The 26172-nt window shown below is 42.3% G+C and overlaps 1 protein-coding gene across 2 annotated transcripts, besides 3 other annotated features; it reads right to left on the bottom strand.

Moving 5' to 3' along the window:
* Positions 1–586: 586 nt before the first annotated feature.
* Positions 587–20990, bottom strand: AQP11 (aquaporin 11). 2 transcript variants are annotated; one of them, NM_173039.3, is made up of 3 exons: positions 20332–20990; positions 7271–7387; positions 587–1645 (listed from the first exon to the last, which is right to left on the bottom strand). In NM_173039.3, exons 1-3 carry the CDS (start codon positions 20948–20950, stop codon positions 1566–1568), a joined length of 816 nt encoding a protein of 271 aa, NP_766627.1. In that variant the 5' UTR covers positions 20951–20990; the 3' UTR covers positions 587–1565. The 2 variants fall into 2 exon arrangements, with proteins under 2 accessions (NP_766627.1, NP_001350406.1); NM_001363477.2 differs by lacking the exon at positions 7271–7387.
* Positions 5167–5706: an enhancer, noted in NCBI's record as "NANOG hESC enhancer chr11:77316282-77316821 (GRCh37/hg19 assembly coordinates)". NCBI's record gives its function as "activates a minimal SCP1, AML or CMV promoter by ChIP-STARR-seq in primed H9 embryonic stem cells {active_cell/tissue: H9 hESC(primed)}" and the evidence as "EXISTENCE:reporter gene assay evidence [ECO:0000049][PMID:30033119]".
* Positions 16532–16732: a silencer, noted in NCBI's record as "peak1362 fragment used in MPRA reporter construct". NCBI's record gives its function as "represses an SCP1 promoter by STARR-seq MPRAs in K562 erythroleukemia cells {active_cell/tissue: K562}" and the evidence as "EXISTENCE:reporter gene assay evidence [ECO:0000049][PMID:32103011]".
* Positions 21014–21643: a silencer, noted in NCBI's record as "silent region_3800". NCBI's record gives its function as "represses an Ori minimal core promoter by ATAC-STARR-seq in GM12878 lymphoblastoid cells {active_cell/tissue: GM12878}" and the evidence as "EXISTENCE:reporter gene assay evidence [ECO:0000049][PMID:35858748]".

The following is a 26172-nucleotide window of genomic DNA, read 5'->3' as shown; positions in this document are numbered from 1 at the left end:
ACAGGCGCTCACCAACATGCCTGACTAATTTTTCTACCTTTAGTGGAGACAGGGTTTCACCATCTTGGCCAGGCTAGTCTTGAATCGCTGACCTTGTGATCCACCCACCTCAGCCTCCCAAAGTGCTGGGATTACAGGCGTGAGCCACTGTGCCCGGCCGAACTCTGCTTTTTAAAATACAAAGCTGGCTGCCTTGTTGGGTAGACTTGGCAAAAGGCTGCACCTGTTCAGTCTGCAGGTATAAATAGAGTGACTGTCTACAAGCTGGTCACCAAGCAGCACTTAAATTACCTGGCAACTGCGACTACAGGTGCACGCCACCATGCCTGGCTAATTTTTATATTTTTAGTAGAGGTGAGGTTTCACCATCTTGGCCAGGATGGTCTCAATCTCTTGACCTCGTGATCCGCCTGTCTCGGCCTCCCAAAGTGTTGGGATTACAGGCGTGAGCTACCGTGCCCAGCCTTTACTTTCAATTCTAACTCTGATAATGGAATTTCCTTTGAAGGGATACATACTTAACCTTTCATGGCCTGAACTTTTAATAAAAATTAGACCGCATACAATAAAAGAAGCCTTCTAATATAGTAAAACTGGAAGGTTCTTTAAACCTCAAAAAATACTAGTTAATTTCTAAACAAGTTTTAACGTTATTATAAAGTATTTAATGTTTCTATGAACCCTTGATTTCCCTTTAGTCATAATCGTGACCGAGAAGAATTTTTGGATTGAAGTTGAAGACTAGAGATGGTATTTGGCTCTATGTGATCTAAGCCAGGGCAGCAAACCCATCTAGGCTTAGTTTCCTTATCTGTAAAATGGAGATTAAAAATACATGCCCTCCCTACTTCATAAGGTAGCTAGCTGTTGGTTCAAAGGAGAATGTGAAAAGCTTAAATCCTGACTTTGTATGGGTGTTTTGTTTTATTATATTCTATTAAAGAATAACCACTTGGCTGGAGCTAGTGAGATTGTCTATTTAGAGAAACTATTTTAGGTATTAGATTTTAATGTACTTAAAATGTAGGAAATCGCTTGCATGTGAGTGAATATATATTCTACTTCTAAAAGCAACTTTCCTGTTGAAAGATGACACTGCTTGATGGTATCATTTTGTGAGGTGGTGGCTGAAAGTATCCTCTCCCCAGTTCTGTAAGTTGACGCCTTGTACTTTTATAGTTAAAAATTCTGTTCATTTGGGTGACACTTGATACACAAATTCGTTGATCTTACTATCACCTTTACTTCCCTTCTCATCCTGTACTCGTTTTTCATCAAAGTTAACAATTATCATTTAAGATTGATTTATATTTAATGTAATGAGGCTTTTCTAGCAGCATTTAATACATCACTCAAAGAACAAGTCTTAACTGAGAAGTACAGAATACCTCATTTTCACAGTAATTTTTTTTTAAAGTCCCAGTGATGAAAACTATAAGGCAGCTTCCTCAAAGGAAGTTAACACTGATGAATCCAGTGCAGCCGGTGTTTTCCATATGAGGTGATAAAATCTTTATCACATCCAGCTGGACTGTCCTGTATGTTAGTCTGAGTCTTTGGAACAGTTATTCCTTTTTATTAATTGTATGGTTGTTATGCAGCCATGGAAGGAAAAAGCTGAACATCAAAATCATCAACAATATACCTGAAAGACAAAATACAGTAAAATAAAAAAACAATCTTTAAGGAGGTTCATAATCACTAGGTGGGTATATTTTAAAATTACAATTATATACCTAGATGTTTGGAAAGCCATGCTTAAAGAATTGGCTACATCAATTCTACGTGAAACATGTTAGATATTTAAATCTAATATTCTCAGATTTAAATCTAATATCAGATTTAAATCTATTATTCTCAGATTATTTTTTCTTCAACTGTGAATCCTTAAACACAGTATGCATTTGGTAAAACCAATAGGATCTAAACAATGAATTCAAAGGATAAACTAAATCCAAAGATGTAGTTTTAGTTCTGGCTCTTTAGTTCTAGACTTGGGTCTTCATTTTCTCCTCTTTAAAATGGTAACACTCTCCTTTTCCTCCGTGCCCCAGGGACATACCTAGAGAATAAAGCAACTGAAAGCACTCGGAGTTTTCACTTAGAATGTTCAAATAAAAACAATGTTAGGTTACTTTCTCCAGTCTCTCTTTTTTCATTAATCTCAACTATTAACAGTTTTTTCATTTTTATCTCAACCTTATTTAACTGACCATTAACTGGTTTTAGAGATGTGTCAAGCAAATAAAATATCTAAACAAAATTTCAGTCGATGGTGGAAGTTTAAATCTGAAATATAATACAAAATTGTTGTTTATTTGTTTGTTTTTGAGACAGAGTTTTGCTCTTTCGCCCAGGCTGGAGTGAAGTGGTGTGATCTTGGCTCACTGCAACCTCTCCCTGCCAGGTTCAAGCGATTCTCCTGCCTCAGCCTCCTGAGTAGATGGGATTACAGGCGCCCGCCACCATGCTCGGCTAATTTTTTTATTTTTAGTAGAGATGGGGTTTCACCATGTTGGCCAGTCTGGTCTCGAACTCATGATCCACCCCCCTTGGCCTCCCAAAGTGCTAGGATTACAGGCGTAAGTTGCTGCACCCGGCCCAAAATGTTTTGAAAATTCACATATTGGTAATCTTCATTTCTGAGAATTACAACAGAGAAATCTGGCATGTAGCTTTTGGTTAATTTTTCAATGTGAAATAGGGACTAAGGAGAGTGAGCCAAGGGCTCAAGTCACTATCCTGAAAAGTAAATCTGCAGTGGTTAATTTTTCATCTTAAACTGAATGTATTCAGGCTTAAAGCCCTAGATCAGTTTAAATTCAGATTGAAAACAAGTTTTGTCACATGCACATTTGAAATTATGTTCTCTTGTTTGCAACAACAAAAAACCTTAAGGTTTGGCAACCACTTAGATACCTTAACATATTTGTGAGAGATTAGTCTGTTGGCAACCAAAGGCTTTAAATGAAAAAAAAAAAAATCAGAAACAACCTCTATGTTAACTGACCCACAGATTTTTTTGTCATTTTTTATAAAGTCAGAACTAGAAAATAAGACATTTAAAACTTTTTCCAAAAATAGAATTGCAGTTTCATAGAAGCAAATAGAATTTTCTACTTTTCATTGTATGAAATGTATAAACTAGAGAATTCTATATACTTTTTTTTTTTTTTTTTGAGACAGGGTCACACTCCCATCACTCAAGCTGGAGTGCAGTGGTACGATCTCGGCTCACTGCAGCCTCGACTTCCTGGGCTCAAGTGATTCTCCTACCTCAGCCTGCCGAGTAGCTGAGACTACATGCATGTACTACTACACCAGGCCACATATACATCCTTATAGTCACATTTCTAAATTTTTAATTTGGTAAGATGGCAGGGGCCATTAGAGGAATTATAATTATCTCTGCTGTGATGAGAAACAAGAAAGAATATGGACTATGACTCCAAAGAATAGTTTGCTTCCTGCTTGGTCAAGAAGGAAAGAAGGTGGATACCTTGGGATTACTCTTTCCTCTGTCTCACTCCCCTGGCACCCTGGCACTGCCTAATTAATGTAGCTTTGGTAGTTGAGTGGTGTTTGTTTTGGGGTTTTTGTTTTTATTTTTATTTTGGACTCCTCATCTCTTAACTCTTTGAATGATTCTTTTAATTTATAATTTATTTTTTCCCATTCTTTTCAGAGTTATATAATGTGTCGCTTTATGTCTTTATTTCATTTGGAGCCAATTTTTTTTCCAGTGGGAAGGTAACTTCAATATATGACAAAATTCAATGGCTGGCTGGAATGCAGTATTCTAAAAATCATCATTTATTCACATACATGTCTTTTATCTACATATACTGAAGGATGCCTTTATTCTCATTCATAAACCTCAGAAAGAAATATAGAAACATGCCTCTTCAAACCAAAACTACAGTAAATATTTTATGTTGGGTCTATTTTAAAAGGTAGGGGTCCTTAGACCAACTGAGAATCTTGGAATACATATTTTCAACAAGCTAAATATAAAAAGTATCATATGAATTCGAAAATGTTTGATCTCAGCCAAGTATGGTGGCTCACACCTATAATCTCAGCACTTTGTCAGGCCAAGGCGGGCAGATCACCTGAGCCCAGGAGTTCGAGACCAGCCTGAGCAACATAGAAACCCCGTTTCTATAAAAAATACAAAACTTAGCTGGGTGTGGTTTTATAGAAACCCCATTTCTATAAAAAATACAAAACTTAGCTGGGTGTGGGGGCATACGCCAGTAGTCCCAGCTACCTGGGAGGCTGGGACAGGAGGATCGCTTGCGCCTGCGAGGCAGAGGTTGCAGCCAAGATTGCACCACTGCACTCCAGCCTGGGTGACACAGCCAGACCAAAAAAAGTTTGATTCCACTTCTATTTGTAAGAGATTTCGGCTTTTTTTTGGCGGGGTTAGGGGGAATGTTCGGATTATTAGGGGGTAAGTGGTTCTTTAAAATGTTTTGGCTACATATAATGTGTTATCTTCCTGTTTGTACCACACTAACATGAAGAGAATATAGTCACTTTCCCCAACCTATCACACTTTCTGCTCTGTAAAGGGAGAAGATTTAGCATTCCTTTTTTATCTATCGTGAGGCTTTTCTTCTAGTATGTTCTTCCAGGAAGTCATTAAGTGCTGCTTTGGCTGGAAAATGTGTTCTAAGAAAAAATCAAGGTCCTTTTACAGAGATTGTCATTACTTCAGATTCCTTTTTAAAATTCTTCCATAAAGACCCTTTTTAAAAAAATTTATTTTTTAGATGTGGTTTTGCTATGTTGCCCAAGGTGGCCTTGAACTCCTGGCCTCAAGCAGTTCTATCTCAGCCTCCCAAGTAGCTGGGACTACAGGCATGTGCCACTGTGCTTTTTTTTTTTTTTTTTTTTTTTTTTTGAGACTCGCTCTGTCGCCCAGGCTAGAGTGCAGTAGTGCGATCTCGGCTCACTGCAACCTCCACCTCCTGAGTTCAGGTGAATCTCCTGCCTCAGCCTCCTGAGTAGCTGGGATTACAGGCACCCATCATCACACCCAGCTAATTTTTGTATTTTTAGTAGAGTTGGCCAGGCTGGTCTCAAACTCCTGACTTGAGGTGATCCACGCACCTCGGCCTCCCAAAGTGCTGGGATTACAGGCATGAGCCACCGCACCCAGCCTACCTGGCTACTTTTTAATGTTCTTTCAAGTAATGGATGAAATAATTCCTTAACACAGAGATCCTCAACCTTTTTAGCACCAGGGACCGGTTTCCTGGAAGACAGTTTTTCCATGGACTGGGGGCATGGTTTTGGGATGGAACTGTTCCACCTTGGATCATCAGGCATTAGTTAGATTCTCATAAGGAGTGTGTAACCTAGATTGCTCACATGCTGAGTTCACAGTAAGGTTCACGTTCCTATGAGAATCTAATGCCACCGCTGATCTGACAGGAGACGGAGCTTTGTAAGCTTGATTGCCACTCACCTCCTGCTGTGCGGCCTGGTTACTAACAGGCCACGGACTATACTGGTCTGCAGCCTGGGGTTTGGGGACCTTTGCCTTAGCCTACTGTTACAATAGTAGTTGGAGCACGCTAACAAATAAATCATGTTAATATATGTTAGTCTCCAGACATACTGGGGGAATTTTTTCATATAAAAACTACCTGTAGGCCTGCCCAACTAGTGACCTTGTTTGTTAACTTCTTAACTTCTTTACATTAGTGACCTTTTTAACTTTAAAATTTAAAAACGGATTTTTTGAGATGGAGTCTCGCTCTGTCGCCCAAGCTGGAGTGCAGTGGTGCGATCTCAGCTCACTGCAAGCTCCGCCTCCTAGGTTCCCACCATTCTCTTGCCTCAGCCTCCCAAGTAGCTGGGACTACAGGTGCCCGCCACCACGACCAGCTAATTTTTTGTATTTTTAGTAGAGACGGGGTTTCACCATGTTAGCCAGGATGGTCTCAATCCCCTGACCTCATGATCTGCCTGCCTCGGCCTCCCAAAGTACTGGGATTACAGGCGTGAGCCACTGCGCCCGGCCTAAAAACAGAGAAAATTTTTCTTTAAAGAAGTTATCGGAAAATACTAGCACTCTGTAGAACTGACCAAAAGTTATATTACTAGCATTTAAAACCAGTTTTTCTCTGATATTCTTCATGTTTAGGCCTATAGATATTATTGAGCATAACAATATTGAGCATAACAATATGATATTGAGCATAACAATAACATTAATGTGAGATAGAGGAATGGAAGGTAAACAGGAAGAGTAAAGTGTGATTGACTATTCAAACCTGTTATGGCACTTCCCTTCTGTGTTACCTTCTGTGTATGTGTGTGTGTGTTTTAAAGAAAATGACTAACAAGGAACAATATGCTAACTGGATAAAAAGAAGAGTGAATTAATGGAGGGCCAAGCATCTTCATATTCACTTACAGTTATGAGTTATAATCAGGCTTAAAACAGATGACTAAACAAAATCAATAAATGCTGATAACTTTATATACGTAATGCAAAAGAAATGCATAATAATTTTTTGTATATTGTATAATTTTGTGTGTTATTTGACCCATCTTTATAAAGAGTTTATATATCTGATCTAAATAGAAGTAACTGGAATGTAGCCTGAGCAACATAGCGAGACCTCATCTCTACAAAATATACAAAAATTAGCCGGGTGTGGTGGCACATGCCTGTCATCCCAGCTACTCAGGAGGCTAAGGCAGGAGGATTGCTTGTGCCCAGGAGTTCAAGCACAGTGAGCTATGGCTATGATCATGCCGCTGCCCTCAAGCCTGGGTGACAAAGAGAGACCCTGTCTCGAAAAAAAACAAAACAAAAACAATAAAAATAACAGGAATGTAATGTGGATAATTTTTAAACTATACTTAATACAGGTATTCATTGTTTCATGAGATGCTGTTCTGCAAAATGAGTCAAATGAACTAAATGATACTTTATCTGGAGCTCACAAATGTGAAAAAACAAATTTCTTTAGCAAAAAAAAAAAAGATTATTTTTGAAGGGAAGTAAGCACTCGTTGCTTTTTTGGTGCTCAGATCTAAGGTTTCTTAAAGTGATAGCATATCTGAAACTGACTACCTTTAACAGTTTTAAAGGATACTACACAAAGTATTATTTCAGGCATGTTAGCTACCTTTTTCATTTTCTGTTTTGTGCCTGCTGTGGCTTTGGAAATTGACATGTTACAATGATATACACATATCATATTTTAAAATACCCTAATCTTTCAGACATATTAAATAAAAATACGCTTACCTAAAGAAGGAGCCAGCCAGTATACTATAAAAAACTGAGGGAATGCTTCATCAAAACACATGAAATGTAGCGAAAGTGCCAAAGCTGGATTAAATACAGCTCCTGTTAGACTTCCTCCTGTAACAGATTTTAAGCAGAGTGATTTCAAATGATTTATCTTCCATTTCCTTGTAACTGGAAATAAATGGTTACTAAATGTGACTTTTATTTTAGGTATTCTTAGTCTGTGATCTTCCTTTGCAGAATCACCTGGCATATTTTAGACTATAATCATAAATCATAATATGCCACTTACTATAAAAAAAAAGACAGAGGACATTAAAGTTTGAACCCAGTGCTTTTCCTATAGACTATAAAATGGACACTGAAAGTTAATGTGCTCTATTATTATTCCTACCGTTTTATAAAATAGATTTGGCTGCCCTGAACATTTGTCAATTTAAATGAATGAATAATAATAAAAGTAAAATGAAAATACAGTTAAATAGATACAATGACCCAAGATCCTCTTGAGTACAAGCATAACTTTGTATTGAAAAGGTAAAATGGACCAATAGACCAAAGCTTTATCATTGGTTCTATTTTTACTTGTCAACAGAGCCCTTAAGAAGGGACTGTGAGTAGTCATGAGAGATAAGCACAAATTATAACTGTTGGCTACTTTTTAGGATTTGTGTTCCAGCTCTGCACCCAGGGTATTTCTCTGGCATGGGGCTAGGAGTCTATAGTCTGGCCACACAAGTGCGGAATGGAAGAGGAGGCTGGATGCCTGTCCAGCAGTACTCCACAGAGCTGTGTCTTCGCTTTTCAAAGTCCAGCCTAAGAGCATCCCTCAGACAGTGACATTTTCAGCAGTTTTTCCAAGTGGAAGCTTAGGCACACAACTCTGCCTCTTTTACTTAGCCACAGAGATAGATCCTGAGATCTTCAGAAGTTTTATTATTGACATGCACCATTGTAGCCTGTTTTCATGGAAATTAAGTGGCCCTTTCATAAGATTTCACTACTGAGATTTCACACTTGAATAGGCCGAGAACAATGAAGCTGTGTTGAGATGAAGATATTTAGCAATGAACTAAGCTCACTCAATAGCTAAGAGTTTTTTCTAGTGTACCAGCCTCACAGCATGATTCACATTCATGACTCAGCAATTATAAATGATATCATAGACCTTTGGAATCATTCTTGAACAGTCAAATCCTGGAATGTTAAACCTGCCACTGCTAAGGGTGAACAGAATTGTCTGGTTGGCAGCTAGTCATTTCAGTTTGATTACACAAAAACTTATTGAGTTCCTGTGTACTAGATACCATGGGCAGAAAGATAAAGACTCACACAGACATTTACAATATAATGTAATATGACCTATGATGATATAAATGACCTGTGACTTTTAGGCATGTATTGATAAAAATGGACTGAATCATTACCCTCACTTAGTTTACTTCAGTATTCAAGGCCATGGTATACTGAAGATTTTCCACTAGATCTAAGATGAACACCACTGATCAGTCTTATGCCATCCTAAAACTCAAACGACTTCACTTCCTAATCTTCTCATCCTCACACAGCAGTTCTGATCAGTGTGACTTAGTGGTAGCTGCTTCTCCCAGCAAGACGTTGTCTACTTTCCCTCTCTTAAAAATGAGCTGGCTTTGCAACTTGTGTTGATAGAATGCAGCAGAGTAGGGCTATGGGAATTCTGAATGTAACAGGAGTGATGCTGTGTGAATTCTAGGTTCACATCTCAATAAACCCATCAGCTTCCACTTTTTGCTCTCTTGGAAGAATGCCCTGACCATGTAAGTTTGCTGGTCTAGGTTGCTGGAGGATGAAAGGCCACACGGAAGAGAACTGAGGCATCTTAGATGACAGCTGACAACTGCCAGACATATGAGTGAGGCTACCTTGGGCTTTCCAGCCTCACCACTGGTCAGCTGAATGCAGCTATATGAGAGATCTCAGAGGAACTGCCCATCTATAACCCACAGAATCATGAAAAATAAGTTATTCTCAGTTTTGGGGCCAGGCATGGTGGCTCATGCCTGTAATCCTAACACCTTGGAAGGCTGAAGCGGGTGGATCACTTGAGCCCAGGAGTTTGTAATGAGCTCAGGCAACATAGCAAAACCCCGTTTCTATAAGAAATACAAAAATTAGCTGGTTGTGGTGCCACATGCCTGTGGTCCCAGCTACTTGGGAGGCTAAGGCAGGAGAATAAACTGAGCCTGCAGAGGTTGAGGCTGCAGTGAGTCGAGATTGTGCCACCGCTCTCCAGCCTGGGTGACAGAGTGAGATCCTGTCTCAAAAAAAAAAAAAAAAAAAAAAGTTTTGAATGGTGTGTTACACAGCAATAGTTAACTGATACAGAAATCCATGTCAGGTGTGGGTTCTGTGTTAACAAAAACTAAAAACATGGCATTGGCTTTAATGTCTTACTGGATAATTCTTTGTTGTGAGCTGTCCTGTGCACCGCAGCATGCTTAGCAGCATCCCTGGCCTCTACTCAGATGGCAGTGGCCTATTCCCTCTCCCCACATCGTAACAACCAAAAATGTCCCCTGGGGGGAAAACTGTCCCTAAGTTCAGAATTACTGTCCTAGAGAAACACTGGTATTTGTGTATGAGAAGACATATACAAGATTTTTTTTTTTTTTTTTTGAGACGGAGTCTCGCTCTGTCGCCCAGGCTGGAGTGCAGTGGCATGATCTCGGCTCACTGCAAGCTCCACCTCCCGGGTTCACACCATTCTCCTGCCTCAGCCTCCCGAGTAGCTGGGACTACAGGCGCCCGCCACCACGCCCGGCTAATTTTTTGTATTTTTAGTAGAGACGGGGTTTCACCGTTTTAGCCGGGATGGTCTCGATCTCCTGACCTCGTGATCCGCCCGCCTCGGCCTCCCAAAGTGCTGGGATTACAGGCGTGAGCCACCGCACCCGGCCCTACAAGATTGGTTATTGTAGCAAAGAACTAGGAAAAACCTAAATGTCCATTCATAGGAAAACAGCCCTAAACAAATTTACTATTACTTTGGAATATCATGCAGTGTTTTGAAATAATGAGAGAAATCTCTTTACTAACATAGGTAGATATACAAGATGTATCGTTGAACAACTACCACCAAAAAAAGCAAATTGTTTCCTCATCCTGTATCTTCCATGTCATAAATGACCTGTGACTGTGTCTTGCCCTTTCTTCCTCCAATATATATCTCCAAACACTTCTCTGCATTCCACAACTACCCCAACTATTTGTTTAACTACTTGCCCCTTGAAGGACATCCAGATAGTTGTTTCCGGCTCTTGGCTATCAGGAATAAAGCCTGCTGAGTAAGGTATGATACTTTTTAATGTTAACACAAGTATACGCATATACAATAATATATATAATAATATGTCATTCCTGGCTGGGCGCAGTGGCTCACACCTGTAATCCCAGCACTTTAGGAGGGCGAGGTGGGTGTATCGCCTGAGCTCAGGAGTTCGCAACCAGCCTGGGCAACATGGTAAAACCCCACCTCTACTAAAATACAAAAAAAAAAAAAAAATAGCTGGGCATGGTGGCGTGCACCTGTAGTCCCAGCTACTCGGAAGGCTCAGGCAGGAGAACTGCTTGTACCCAGGAGGCAGAGGTTGCAGTGAGCCAAGATCACGCCACTGTACTCCAGCCTGGGCAACAGAGCAAGTCTCAGTCTCAAAATAAATAAATAAGTAAATAACAGTAATAATATATCATTCCTGTAGGGTTTTATCTATATGTATAGTAAATGCACATGAAAAGAGTTTGGGCCTGGGTTTGATGGCTCATTCCTGTAATCCCAGCACTTTGGGAGGCTGAGATGGGCGGATTGGTTGAGTCCAGGAGTTCAAGACTAGCCTGGGCAACATAGCAAAACCCCCATCTCTACAAAAAATACAAAAATTGCCTGGGTATGGTGGCATGTACTTGTGGTCCCAGCTACTCGGGAGGCTGAGGTGGGAGGATCTTGTGAGCCGGGGAGGCGGAGGTTTTGATTGCACCACTGCGCTCCAGCCTGGGTGACAGAGTGAAGCCCTGTCTCAAAAAAATAAAAATAAAAACACAGTTTGGGGCTGGGCATGGTGCCTCACGCCTATAATCCCAGCACTTTGGGAGGCCGAGGCTGGTGGATCATTTGAGGTCAGCAGTTCAAGACCAGCCTGGGCAACATGGTGAAACCCCTACTAAAAATACAAAAAGTAGCCAGGTGTGGGGCCTGTCATGGGGTGGGGGGCTGGGGGAGGGATAGTATTAGGAGAAATACCTAATGTAAATCATGAGTTAATGGGTGCAGCAAACCAACATGGCACATGTATACCTATGTAACAAACCTGCACGTTGTGCACATGTACCCTAGATCTTAAAGTATAATTAAAAAAATAATTAATAAAGAAAAATTAGCCGGCTGTGGTGGCAGGTGCCTATAATCCCAGCTACTCCGGGGGCAAAAAGAAAAAAAAAATTAGCCAGGTGTGGCCAGGCATGGTGGCTCACGCCTGTAATCCCAGCACTTTGGGAGGCTGAGGCGGGCACATCACCTGAGGCTGGGAGTTCAAGACCAGCCTGACCAACATGGAGAAACCCTGTCTCTACTAAAAATACAAAATTAACCAGGCGTGGTGCTGCATGCCTGTAATCCCAGCTACTCGGGAGGCTGAGGCAGGAGAATCGCTTGAACCTGGGAGGCAGAGGTTGCAGTGAGCCTAGATCGTGCCATTGCACTCCAGTCTGGGCAACAAGAGTGAAACTCCATCTCAAACAAAAAAAAAATAATTAGCCAGGTGTGGTGGCAGACACCTTTAATCCCAGCTACTCAGGAGGCTGAGGCAGGATAATCATTTGAACCTGCGAGACAGAGGGTGCAGTGAGCCAAGATTGCACCACTGTGCTCCAGCCTGGGCGACAGAGCAAGACTCCATCTCAAGAAAAACCCAAAAAACAACAACAAAAACAACCAGTTTGGAAGGTTGTAACACAAACATCAGAGACAAGGATTACCGTGGAAGGAAGAGTAGACAGGGAAGGAAAGGAAACAGGCATGGAGGCATGGAGGATGGCAGTCAAAAGGCACTTTAGTCTTTGAATTTTTTACATAGAGAACATATCACGTATTGTGTAATTAAAAATGAATTATTTTTTAAAGAATCATCAGGCATGGAACTATCAAAAGATGGCTTCAAAAAACAAGTTACTATTTATTGACATTTGAAGGGGAGATGACAATCATGCATGTTGAAGAAGAGGTATAACCGGGAGATCCAGCTAGTCCACTGCCAAGAGTCAGAGGACAGCATGGATTTGGTGAAATTACCACAGCCAGAGGCTAAGTCTCAAATCTGGCAATTTTAGGCACTAAAGTTTCTCAATATTCCTAAAGGGAATAAAATTCTCTGTGACAGAAGAATACTAGTTAAATATCACATAACACCCATGTAGAAGCTGGAAGGTCTATTTATTCATTTAGAGTGGAAGCTAGCTTTCTAGTAACTGGAATATTTGTCTTCCCTCTCCAGAGAACCCATTTTAATGAGCACGTAAGCAAAGCAAAAGGAGTGTTATCATACCCTGATGAGCTCTGATAAAATATCATTGTCAGGAGTTGAAAATACCTCTCTAGGCCAGACGTGGTGGCTCACGCCTGTAATCCCAGCACTTTGGGAGGCCAAGGTGGGTGGATCACAAGGTCAGGAGTTCAAGACCAGCCTGGCCAAGATGGTGAAACCCCATCTCTACTAAAAGTACAAAAATTACAGCGCGCCTATGATCCCAGCTACTCGGGAGGCTGAGGCAGGAGAATCGCTTGAACCTGGGGGTCGGAGGTTGCAGTGAGCCGAGATCGCGCCACTGCACTCCAGCCTGGGTGACAGAGCGAGACGCCATCTCAAAAGAAAAAAGAAAAAAAGAAAATACCTCTCTAATGACAAGCCTGCTTGTTTTCCCCAAATTCAATCTCTACTCCCGGACATTACTGGGCAAATAATTTCAAAGTTTGCATCTCCAAACTCCACTTTTCATTTCTGGTTTGTATTCTGCTGATATGCTAATGTTACTAACTAAGCTAGCTAGCTAGCTGTTTTCTTTTCTTGAGAGATTCTCACTCTGTCATCCAGGCTGGAGTGCAGTGGTGCAATCTCAGCTCACTGCAACCTCCACCTCCTGGGTTCAAGCGATTCTCATGCCTCAGCTTCCTGAGTAGCTGAGACTACAGGCGCGAGCCACCATGCCCAGCTAATTTTTGTATTTTAAGTAGAGACTGGGTTTCGCCATTTTGGCCAGGCTGGTCTCGAACTCCTGGCCTCAAGCGATCCGCCCACCTTGGCCTCCCAAAGTGCTGGGATTACAGACATGAGCCACTGCGCCTGGCCTGTTTTCAAATTAGTGGTTATTCTTACAAACCTGGAAGAATGACATTAGACTGTTCTCAGATGTTGTGGGGAACACCTAGGGATTTGTACCAAAATCTTTACTTATTTTCAATGGACAAATTTCGTTATAAAAGTTACAACTTACATTTTCCTGAATTTATCCCAAAAGGAGTTGTGAGCAATAAAACTGATCAAATTATATGCAAAAATGATCAAATTATACTGGAAGCCTGTTAGAAATATAGAGGGAAATAATAATAATAAATAATAATTATTTCCCAAGTACTTCGTGTATGGCAGGTACTATGCTACAAACTTGAATTATTATTCCTCATACTAGTCTTATGAAATTTCTTCATTTTAGAGATGAGGAAAGTGAGGCCCAAAATAAGTATTCAGCCTAAGGGCACAGTCTTTTTTTTTTTAAATTGAAACAAGATCTCACTCTTTCACCCAGGCTGGAATGCAGTGATGAAATCATGGCTCAATACAGCCTCAAACTTCAGGGCTCAAGCAGTCTTACTGTCTCAGCCTCTTAAGTAGCTAAGACTACAGGCGTGCACCACCATACCTGGCTAATTTTAAAATTTTTTTGTAGAGACAGGGTCTTGCTATGTTGCCCAGACTGGTCTCAAACTGCTGGCCTCATGCAGTCCTCCTGTCTTGACGTCCCGGTCCTGGGATTACAGACATGAGCCACCATACCTGGCCTTAACCATTACATACATATATATATATATATATATATATATTTACATATATATTTACATATATATTTACACATATATATTTACACATATATTTACACATATATATTTACATATATATATATATTTTTTTTTTTTAATTGAGACATAGTCTCGCTCTGTTGCCCAGGCTGGAGTGCACTGGTGTGATATCAGCTCGCTGCAACCTCCGCCTCCCAGGTTCAAGCAATTCTACTGCCTCAGCCTCCCAAGCAGCTGGGATTACAGGCGCCCGCCACCATGCCAGGCTCATTTTTGTATTTTTAGGAGAGATGGGGCTTTACCATGTTGGCGTTGAATTGGTTAAAGAATAGTAGAGTAGTGACGATAATGAATAGGCTGTGGGTGGTCATGTTGATTCAGATTATGAATCAACAGGCTGGTCTTGAACTCCTGAACTCAGGTGATCCGCCCGCCTCCGTCTCCCAAAGTGCTGGGATTATAGGCATGAACCACTACACCTGGCCTTAACCACTATATTATACTGGCATAACAAAATAAATTTTGGACCTTTGAAGGTGTTTTTCATTTGTAAATTGATAATAGCTCCTATTTAAAAAGAACATATGTTCCCTTCTCTCTTTTTTTTTTGACACTGAGTCTTGCTCTGTTGCTCAGGCTGAAGTGCAGTGGCATGATCTTGGCTCACAGCAACCTCCGCCTCCAGGGCTCAGGGGATCCTCCCACCTCCACCTCCCGGGTTCAAGCGATTCTCCTGCCTCAGCCTCCCAAGTAGCTGGGATTACAGGTGCCCACCACCATACCCAGCTAATTTTGTATTTTTAGTAGAGACAGGGTTTCTCCATGTTGGTCAGGCTGGTCTCGAACTCCCGACCTCAGGTGATCCGCCTGCCTCTGCCTCCCAAAGTGCTGGGATTACAGGCGTGAGCCATCCTGCCCGGCCATATTATTTCTTCCTGTACAGTTTTTTAGAGTAAACAGACTATTTGCTAGTTCGTTCACTTATTCTAAAAATACATTTACTTTGTACCAGGTCCTATGCTAAGATCTTGATATATGTTATGACAAATAAAACAAATGTGGTCTACAGACTCAAAGCTTGTCATCTGGTAGAGGAAAACAGGCATTGTGTCAGAAAACAATATAATTTAAAATTCTATGAAAGAAATGAGCAGTATGTGGTAATAAAGACAACTGACGTGTAAAATAACAGATGTTTTTCTTTCTTTTTTTCTTTTTTTGAGATGGAGTTTTGCTCTTGTTGCCCAGGCTGGAGTGCAATGGCACGACCTCAGCTCACTGCAACCTCTGCCTCCCAGGTTCAAGCGATTCTCCTGTCTCTGCCTCCTGAGTAGCTGGGATTACAGGCATGCGCAAGCATGCCCAGCTAATTTTGTATTTTTAGTAGAGGTGGGGTTTCTCCATGTTGGTCAGGCTGGTCTCAAACTCCTGACCTCAGGTGATCCACCCACTTCGGCCTCCCAAAGTGCTGAGATTACAGGCGTGAGCCACCACACCCGGCCCAGGTGTTTTTCAATATCTAATTATGCATAAAAAATGAATGCAGCTCTCTCTCAAACTGTTCATTGAACTAAATTCTTCCAGAACCCAAAGTAAGGAAGATTTGCTTGAAATCTGATTAACAGTTTATAGCTCTAATATGTTAATAAATCGCACAGCTTTTTTTTTTTTTACACGATTAGGGGAGCCAGTTAATACACGATAAATGGCAATGACATAACTGGGGCTCCATGTGCCATCAAAATTTGGGGTGCTAAATCAATAAATACACAGACACTTGGTCACTGGCTATCCTTAGGAGCCTGTGGCTATGTTGCTGGATGCTTATGTTCTGTAATCCTAAAATACATAAGTTATTTTGATGTACCCTGTATTGGTGACTTCTCAGTGCCCTCAAAATGCAAGTGATTAAAGAAATCTCCCAAGGTGCACCTTTGTCAAATCTGTACTTGTAGTATCCTAGAAGCTTAAAAAAGACATATCATAATAACTTGTAATGATGCCTGACTTAGCCAACTGTCCCAAGACAGTCCTATTTGTAACAACTCTGTTCCAAAGTTATGACTTATAGCCATAGAAAATAAAAGGGAGAGATGGGACTTAGTGCAGCATTTCCCAAAGTATGTTCTCTTCTGCTACACACTCCTAGACAAGAGGATCTCGTAAGTTTGAAAAACTGTGCTCCAAATCCTCCTCTTGGAGTTTCACAATACTTAGAAGCATAGTAAAGGCTCTATGAAGTCTTAAAATTAGAAAACCTGTTTAATCCAGTGTCTGCCAAATTTATTTGGCAACAACATCATTTTGTAACTTAAAAATTGTATAAATTATGGTGAAATATATATATACCATAAAGTATGCCATTTTAGCCATTTTTAAGTGTATAAGTCATTGGTGTTACATTCACCATGCTGTTTCACCAGCAGCACCATTTCCAAAGGTTTTCATAACATAAACAGAAACTTTGTACCCATTAAACAATAAGTCCCCATTCCTCCCTCCTCCCCACAGTCCCTGGTAACTCTATTCTACTTTCTGTCTCTATGAAGTTGCCTAATCTAGATATTTTGTATATGTAGAGCCATACAGTATTTGTCTTTTTGTGTCTGGCTTATTTTGCTTGGCATATTGTTTTTGAGGTTCATTCATGTTGTAGTATACATCATAACTTCATTCCTTTTTATGGCTGAATATATTCAATTGTGTATAGTTTTGTTAACTTTTGAGGAGCACACTGTGGAAATGCTGATAATGAATCCGTATGAGCTTTAGTGCCAGTTGGAACCATAGTTCTAACACAGTCTAGTTATGTAAGCTTAGATAAGTCATTTCACTTTTCTGGGCCTCACTTACTTTACTTAAAATGGGAAGAATATATTCATCGATGGGTTGTTTTTTTTTGTTTTTGTTTTTTTTTGAGACGGAGTCTCGCTCTCTCGCTCTGTCTCCCAGGCTGGAGTGCAATGACTCGATCTCGGCTCACTGCAAGCTCTGCCTCCCGGGTTCATGCCATTCTCCTGCCTCAGCCTCCCCAGTAGCTGGGACTACAGGCACCCGCCACCATGCCTGGCTAATTTTTTTGTATTTTTTAGTAGAGACGGGGTTTCACCGTGTTAGCCAGGATAGTCTCGATCACCTGACCTCGTGATCTGCCCGCCTCGGCCTCCCAAAGTGCTGGGATTACAGGCGTGAGCCACCGCGCCCGGCCGATGGGTTGTTGTAAGAATTAATTAAGATAACTCTCATAAATTTCCTTGCAAAATGCTTGGCCTATAACAGCTGACAACTGAATATTCTTATCTCCCTTATATTGGCAGAAAACAAACAAAGGGAAGATCATACTGCATTATAAATTTCTGTAACTAATAGTAATCAACAATTGTCTATTTTGTTCTACCCATGCAAACAGACTCTAGCACTGTCCAATCCTGTACCCACTAGCTACAGCACAATTTGACAACTGACCACTTGAAATGTGGCTACTCTGAATCTAATTTCAGTTAATTTAAGTGTAAACAGCCACATGCAGCTAGTGGCTACTGAATTGCACAGTGCAGGTCTAGACTCCTAAAGCAGTGCTTCTTTACCTTGGTTTCATAATGGGATCACCTGTGAAGCTTTACAATACACCGCTGCCTAGGCCCCTTGCCAGAGCAATTGGATTTTAATCTGTGGGCCCAGAACAAGGACGTTTAAAGAGCTCCCCAGGTGATTTTAATACAGAGAGAAACACTGCTCTAGTGTTCCCTTTATACTCTCCCTCTCCCCCATCAATTAGTACCCTCATTTCAAGAAAAAAAGGGCAGTGTTTTTGATCTGTTGATATTTTATAGATACTTCTAATAACTTTCCTTATATCTATGACTGGATCTATAACTCCAAGTATTATCTGTGTCTCTTCTCTCAAATTTTTTGTCACTGATAAAATAGGGAATGGCTAATATATACAGTATTATCTATGGAATCATAAATATGTATTAAAAGTAGACAGAAAGAATATCAACTTCAGGTTAATCAAGAGAGGGAAGAGGAACATAGGTATTGAAAAATCCAACTGTAGTTAATGTTCTATTGATGTAAAAATTCTTTTTTAAGTTTTTACTGCTTTTAATTGTAGAAATAAAGAGCTAAACCATAGCATAACTCTTTTTGCAGTGACAATTCTGTTCATATACAGGGGATGTTTCTGCTTTAGCTAAAATCTAAAACTTCAATAAATAAGCAACTACCCACCAATCCCTCAAATATGCCTGTACTTGTCACTCTTTTTCTCTTTTTCTTTTTTTTTTTCTTTTGAGACAGACAGGGTCTCTATAACCCAGGCTGGAGTGCAGTGGCACTATCACAGCTCACCACAATCTCAACCTCCTGGACTTGGGTGATCCTCCCACCTTAGCCTCCCAAGTAGTTGGGACTACAAGTGCGCACCAGCACGCCCGGCTAATTTTTGTATTTTTTGGAGAGATGGGATTTCTCTTATGTTGCCCAGGCTAGTCTCGAACGCCTGGGCTCAAGCGATCCACCTGCCTTGGCCTCCCAAAGTGTTGGGATGACAGGTGTGAGCCACCGTGCCCGGCCCCCTTCACTCTTCTATACCACTTATTTCCATTTATGTCTACTTAAAAAGTGGTACTAGACCTAAAGAAGGGGAAATTGATTGGGAAGGCTTGCTTTCTTTCTTTTTTTTGAGACAGAGTCTCACTGTTGTCGCCTGGGCTGGAGTAAAATGGCGCGATCTCAGCTCACTGCAACCTCCGCCTCCCGGGTTCCAGCAATTCTCCCGCCTCAGATTCCCGAGTAGCTGAGATTACAGGCGCCCACCACCATGCCTGGCTAAATTTTTTTTGTATTTTTAGTAGAGACGGGGTTTCACCATGTTGGCGAGGCTGGTCTCAAACTCCTGACCTCAGGTGATCCACCCACCTCGGTCTCCCAAAGTGCTGGGATTACAGGCGTGAGCCACCGCGCCCGGCTGAAGGCTTTCATTTTTACCCTAGAAGGTCAAGTACGTGTTTAGGAGTCCTTATCTTGAAGTTTGCTTCTAGTCATTGTTTCACTTTTAATGGGCAGAAGATTATTACCACAAATTTCCTTTGTTGTTATTTCTGCCTCCACAGTCTTTTATAATTTAGATGTAGTCCCAATAAAGATATTCTGTTGTAATCATTTAAAATGACACATTTCATCATTAAATACTTGTGTTTTGGATTTCCTCCTCCCACTTAGGACTAGATTGCCCACTGCATCTGAGATCTGTCAAAGTAAACAAATGGTTTAAAAGAAATCAACAGATTTCTCAAGAGTTATATTTTAAAAAGCATCTTTAATTTGAAGCAAGTTATCATTTAAACATTTTTCTTAATAGGTCACTTAAAAGTTCATGTATAACTCAAAATGAATTATTAAGGAAATAAGAAATTTCATAACTCAAAATGAATTATTAAGGAAATAAGAAATGACTTTAAATCATTTATAGGACTAAAATGGAACTACAAAATTTCTACCCTCCGCTCTTATACTAACCAATCATGTGCCTTGTGCTTTAAATCGAAAGGAACTTTGTAAAGCCAGGATCATTTTTCAGTAAGAGTATCCGAAACGATCTATACCACCTTGGCATGAAGAAAGAGGCAGTTAATAAGTTATCTTTCCTTTCTACCATTAAAACAATCCCTTTGTAGGATATCTGAACCCTTGGCAATATCTCACAGTATCTCAGTTTCAGCACAGAGGTGGCTCCTTTCTCTGGGTGTTCAAAGCAGCACTGCATGAAGGCTCTACGTGTCGGCCCTACTGGTTAAGAACGGGCTGCAAAATGGTTAGAATAACGGGGATACCAGCATTTACATCATAGCGGGATAGACGGTTTCAAATGTATTTTAGTAAAGAACTTACAGCCTCATGTCATAGAGGCTCTGGAAGTGCCAAGTATTTGGTGAGAATGACAAACCTGCATAGACCAAAAAGGTGATGAGTGCAGCCAGCAGGTGGATACGAAGCTTGGTTCGGACTTCCTGGAAGTGCAGCAGAGCGCTGTGGAAGAGAAAGGAGCAGACGGCCTCTGTGATGACCGCTTTGAGCAAGTCGACTCGGATGGGATTCTTGCAAGCGAAGCTCCTCTCGCTGACGTGATACTGGGTCAGACCCAAGCTCCACAAGGCGCTTGTGCAGTACCTGCTGCACAGGGCACTAACCAGCTGAGCCAATAGCCTCACCGCACCCGTCTCGGGGGACATGCCCCCCAGCATCATCTGCATCATCACGCCGCACGGGTTGCTGGACGTGCCCACCAGAGTCAGGCCATGCACAAGCGAGAAGAAGTAGACGAGCGTCAGCGTCCAGGTGGGGTGCGCGGGGTGCTGTTCGCTCAGCAGTTGCAGCTCGTGGGTGCAGCAGCAGAGCTGGAAGGTGGCTAGAAACTCCAGGACGAAGGCGTGGGCCACCGGCCTGTGCAGCTGCTGCCGGGCGACTACGCGGGCCAGCCCCATGAGCAGCACCACCGACAGCATCAGTCCCAGCGAGGTGCAGGTGTCCTGCAGCTCGGACCGGAGCCCCAGCAGCGGCGACATGGCTCCGTCGCCGCCTGAGCGGGTTGCGGGCTCCGGCTCTGGGTAGGAGGCGGTCTCCAGGCCCGAGTCCGAAGTCCGCAGCCCCTCCCCTCCTCACGCCCCTCGGGGCGGGACGAGCGGGAGGCTCCCGAGCGGCACACTTAAGAAGTCCTCCCCGCCTCCCCGGCTTGGCGCTGGGGTGTTGGAACCAGAGCCGAGGAGGCGGGGAGGCGGGGAGGCGGGGAGGCGCGGGGAGGCGCGGGGAGGCGAAGGGAGGTAGCCTAGGGCGCCGGCCGCAGGGCCAACGGTCAGCCGAGCCCACCGCGCACTCACCCTCCGCAGTCTCCCTCAGGGCCTTGTAGGCGGGCGCGGCGGCGGAGGGCCGGCGCGGCGCGGTCGACGCAGCGCTCTTGGTGCCCACTGCGCACGCGTGCTGCGGCCCTTGCGCCCCTGCGGGCGGTGACACCCGGACCACGGGGCGGAGAGGAGCGGCACGGCGCGGCGGAGCTCTGATGGTTGCTTTGCAGCGAGGACCTTAGAGTTTTTCTTTCCCCGCTCCACACTGTAAAACCGTGGAGCTGGAAAGACCGCTGAAGGCCATCTCACATAGCCACCTCGTTTTTATCAATGGGCGACTGAAATTGAGAGGGGAGACGCGGCGCAGGGGGCGGGTGAGTTAGTGGGCGTAGACCGGTGCGCAGGGCCTCCTGGAGCCTTGCTTTTCTTCACCTGCCAAAAAACATTTCTAAAAATGGTGGTAATATATGCCAGATAAAATTCGCCACTTTAATCAATTTAAGTGTATATTTCAGTGGCATCGATTACCCTCACAGTGTTGTTCAACAGTCACCTCTTTTTTCCAGAACTTGAGCGGTGATTCTTCAAAGTGTAGCCTAGTTTTAGCATGTGACTGTCTATAACCTTTGGCATGAACTCTTTACGTATAATATGAAACAGTTGTGTCTTACTGTTACATGCACTCTTCGTGAAGAGGAAACAACAGGTAACTGGAGAGGTCTGTTTCCAAGAACTGGGGGTCCTGGCGCACCTCTTCCATCTGCTTTGAAAGCAGGAATACGGCTGCGTGAGGTGGAGCGCGTCCGGAGTCCCAGCACGGAGAGGCTTAGGTGGGAAGACCGCTTGACCCCAGGAGTTCCAGGCTGCAGTGAGCTGAGATCGCGCCACTGCACCCCTGCCTGGGCCACAGAGCGAGACGCTGTTTTTAGAAACAAAAACAACAACAAAAACCGGGCGCGGCTGGGCGCGGTGGCTCACGCCTATAATCCCAGCACTTTGGGAGGCCGAGGCGGGCGGATCACCGGAGGTCGGGAGTTCGAGACTAGCCTGACCAACATGAGAAACCCCCGTCTCTACTAAAAATACAAAATTAGCCGGGCATGGTGGCGCATGCCTGTCATCCCAGCTACTCGGGAGGATGATGCAGGAGAATCGCTTGAACCCGGGAGGCAGAGGTTGTGGTGAGCCTAGATCGCGCCATTGTACTCCAGCCTGGGCAACAAGAGCGAAACTCCGTCTCAAAAACAACAACAACAACAACAACAACAACAACAAACCAGTCAAACAAACAAAAAACAAAACATGAAAGCCACTTAGTACAGTTCCCAATACGTAGAAAATATTCACTAAGTGGTAGCTTACAGTGGAAACAGCAGGTTTCAGCAGCCAGAGTGCACGGCTCTTGCCACCGCATTCCAGTCCCAACAGCTTGTCCCCTGGGGTGGCCCATTGTAGGTGCAGCACTTTGGGAGTCCGAGGCAGGCGGATAACGAGGTCAGGAGTTCAAGACCAGCCTGGCCAACATAGTGAAACCCCGTCTCTACTAGAAATACAAAAATTAGCTGGGCATGGTGGTGCGCACATGTAGTCCCAGCTACTCGGGAGGCTGAGGCAAGAGAATCCCTTGAACCCGGGAGGTGGAGGTTGCAGTGAGCCAAGACAGTGCCACTGCACTCCAGTTTGAGCAACAGAGTGAGACTTCGTCTAAAAAAAAAAAAAATTCTTTCACAAGACACAAACTAGTAGAAAATCAAGACCTTTTCTCTTTCCTGTGTTGATTGCCTGGCCAGAAAGAATTTAAATTAGAATTATTTATTATTATTATTTTTTTAAGACAGAGTCTCGCTCTGTCTCCCAGACTGGAGTGTAATGGCGTGATCTCAGCTCACTGCAACTTCTGCTCCCGGGTTCACGCCATTCTCCTGCCTCAGCCTCCCGAGTAGCTGGGACTACAGGCGCCTGCCACCACACCTGGCTTTTTTTTTTTTTTTTTTTTTTTTTTTTTTTTTTTTTTTGTATTTTTTAGCAGAGATGGCGTTTCACTGTGTTAGCCAGGATGATCTTGATCTCCTGACCTTGTGATCTGCCCGCCTCGGCCTCCCAAAGTGCTGGGATTACAGGCGTGAGCCACCGCGCCCGGCAATTAGAATTACTTTTAAGTCACTGCTGTTTAAAGAAGTTGCCTTTAAATCAATCCTATGAATGTAACCCTTTCAGTGCTCCCCTAGACTTGAAGTCACTTGAGGATTAATGTGAATGTATTTTATTTACTGCTCTGCTGATAATTCACTTTTACCCGGAAGAGTCATGTAGAAAACCAGTGTTTTGGACTTTGGTAAGAAATTTTAGTATCGTGGTAATACATATTGTCATTAAAAGGACTTTGGACATTTTTTAAATTAAAGAACAAGGGCAAAATTAACATAATTAATTACTACTGATTGGATATTTTGCATCAAATCAACCTTCCTATTTTCAGAAACAAGAAATCACCAATTAAAGTCTCTTGAGAGTGACATCATGGACGAAGACCTCTGTTAGCTTTGGTAAAACAGCAGTAAAAACAGTCCTTGCTCTTGAATAGCATAGAAGAGGGAACAGAAGAGAAAACAAAATTAAAATATAGTGTAAAAGTACAATGGTAAAAGAAGAAAGGCCTGGGCACAGGGAGGGGCCCCCACTCAGACTTAAGGAAAGGCTCCTTGGAGGAAGTGTCATCCTAGCTGAAACCTGAAGAATAAATAGGAGTTAAGGGGTAAAGAGAAGAGGGAGAAAGAAGAGAGGCAGAGGCACTGCATTTTGCAAACAGAGAAAGCCTAGAGGAGTCCCCGTGCTCTAGGCTGGAGTATGAAGGGGGAAGTAGCAAGAGATCAAGGTTAAAAGAAATAATGCCTGAAAAAGATTTAGTACATGGCCCAGCACATAGTAGTGCTTAATAAGGTTTAATATATAAAAATGGAGGTAAAATAGACGATAGTTCAATAATCATGGATTTTGCCCTGAAGCTTCAGACAAGACAAAGCGAAATGAAGAAAAAAAAAAACCCCTGCCAAAATTCAGAATTGCATTTCGTTAACATCTGCGAGGAGATAAAGCATTTAAGAGCTTCTGCACCAGGCGCGGTGGCTCACGCCTGTAATCCCAGCACTTTGGGAGGCCGAGGTGGGTGGATCACCTGAGGTCAGGAGTTTGAGACCAGCCTGGCCAACATGGTGAAACCCTGTCTCTACTAAAAATACAAAAATTAGCCAGGCGTGTTGGCACATGCCTGTAGTCCCAGCTACTCAGGAGGCTGAGGCAAGAGAATAGCTTGAACCCGGGAGGTGGAGGTTGCAGCGAGCCAAGATTATACCACTAAACTCCAGCCTGGGCAACATGGTGAGACTCCATCTCAAAAAAAAAAAAAAAGAGCTTCTGAAGCCATGTCCTTTGGCTTGACGTTTACGTGGGAAGAAACATGGGAAGAATTTAAGTAATTGCATTTTAAAAGTATTTTATTTTGAAATAATCTCAGGCTTTCAGAAAAGTTGCAAGTATAGTACAAAATTTTTTTTTCCTGAACCATTTGAAAATTAATTGTTAATATTATGCCCAATTACTCAGAACATTTTAGGGTGTATTTTCTTAAACATCTGTGTCCTACATAGCCATAATAAGACTATCAAAATCAGGAAATTAACATTGTTACTACCATCTACTCCTCAGATCCCATTCAAGTTTTGCCAGTTGTCGCAACATTGTACTTCTTAGCAAAAGGATCCAATTCAGAATTGCACATTGCATTTAGTGTCATGTCTCATGAGTTTCCTTCAATCTAGAAAAGTTCCTCAGCTCTTCCTTGACTTTCATCACCTGGACAATTTTGAGGTTACAGATCAGTTATTTTGTAAAATCTCCTTGAATTTGGGTTTGCCTAATGTTTCCTAGATACTAGTTTCAGGTTAAGTGTCTTTTTTTTTTTCTTTTTTTGAGACAGAGTCTCACTGTGTTGCCCAGGCTGGAGTACAGGGGCGTGATCGCGGCTCAATGCAGCCTTACAGGGTATGCATCTTTAGCAGGAATATCACAGAAGTGATGCCATATTTTTCTCATTGTGTTTTATCAGATGTGTACTCCAAAAATCTGAGACATGTCTCAGTTAATTTAGAAAGTTTATTTCGCCAAGGTTGAGGATGCGTGCCTATGACACAGCCTCAGAAGGTCCTGATGACATTTACCTGAGGTGGTCACAGCACAATTTGGTTTTATACATTTTAGGAAGTCATGAGACATCAATCAATATATGTAAGAAGAACGTTGGTTCAGTCTGGAAAGGCATGACATCTTGAAGCAGGAAGGGGGCTTCCAGGTCATAGGTACGTAAGAAAAAAATGGTTGCATTGTTTTAAGTTTCTGATTAGCCTCCTCAAAAGAGGCAGTCAGATATGTTTTTATCTCAGTGAGCAGAGGGGTGACTTTGAATAGAATGGGAGGCAGATTTGCCCTAAGCAGTTTCCAGCTTGACTTTTCCCTTTAGCGTATTGATTTTTGGGGGCATAAGATATTTTCCTTTCACATTTCCCACTTTTCTTTTTAAAAATCTTTTGGAAAAAGCATTTTAGAAGAAAATGAGTTTGTGGTCTCAGGTTTCATCTGATCTGTCATGGCTAGGATGGTTTATTCCTAAACAAGTAGGTCCTGAGTTATTAGGAAAGTTCATTTTTAGAGGGTTGTGAAGTCTCATGTCCTATGAAAAGAAAACGGGGAGCAAGGGAGAAAAACAACAAACAAAAGAACAATCCTGAAAAATCATTATAGGCTGGATTACTCTGAAGTCCATACATCAGTAGGCAAGTATGAAAGTGGCTTATGTATGTAAATAGGTTGCTGTTATTTTCTTCTGAAGTTTAAGTTGTCTGGCTTCAGTTTGCAGTGCTTTAAGAAAGCACAGCTAGCCGGGCATGGTG

Source organism: Homo sapiens, chromosome 11, assembly GCF_000001405.40.
Source record: "Homo sapiens chromosome 11, GRCh38.p14 Primary Assembly".
In the NCBI taxonomy this organism is placed as follows: Eukaryota; Metazoa; Chordata; class Mammalia; order Primates; family Hominidae; genus Homo; species Homo sapiens.
The sequence above is the reverse complement of the archived record's forward strand: the minus strand, read 5'-3'. Positions and strand labels throughout refer to the sequence as shown.

What these genes read in the sequence shown, in the direction of transcription:
- AQP11 (NM_173039.3), bottom strand. Translation starts at nt 20,950, where the DNA reads ATGTCGCCGCTGCTGGGGCTCCGGTCCGAGCTGCAGGACACCTGCACC. An exon ending in CACCTTTTTGGTCTATGCAG is followed by an intron (nt 7,388 to 20,331) that starts GTTTGTCATTCT and finishes AATCTGTTACAG; the next exon opens with GAGGAAGTCTAACAGGAGCT. An exon ending in CTGGCTGGCTCCTTCTTTAG is followed by an intron (nt 1,646 to 7,270) that starts GTAAGCGTATTT and finishes TTTGTCTTTCAG; the next exon opens with GTATATTGTTGATGATTTTG.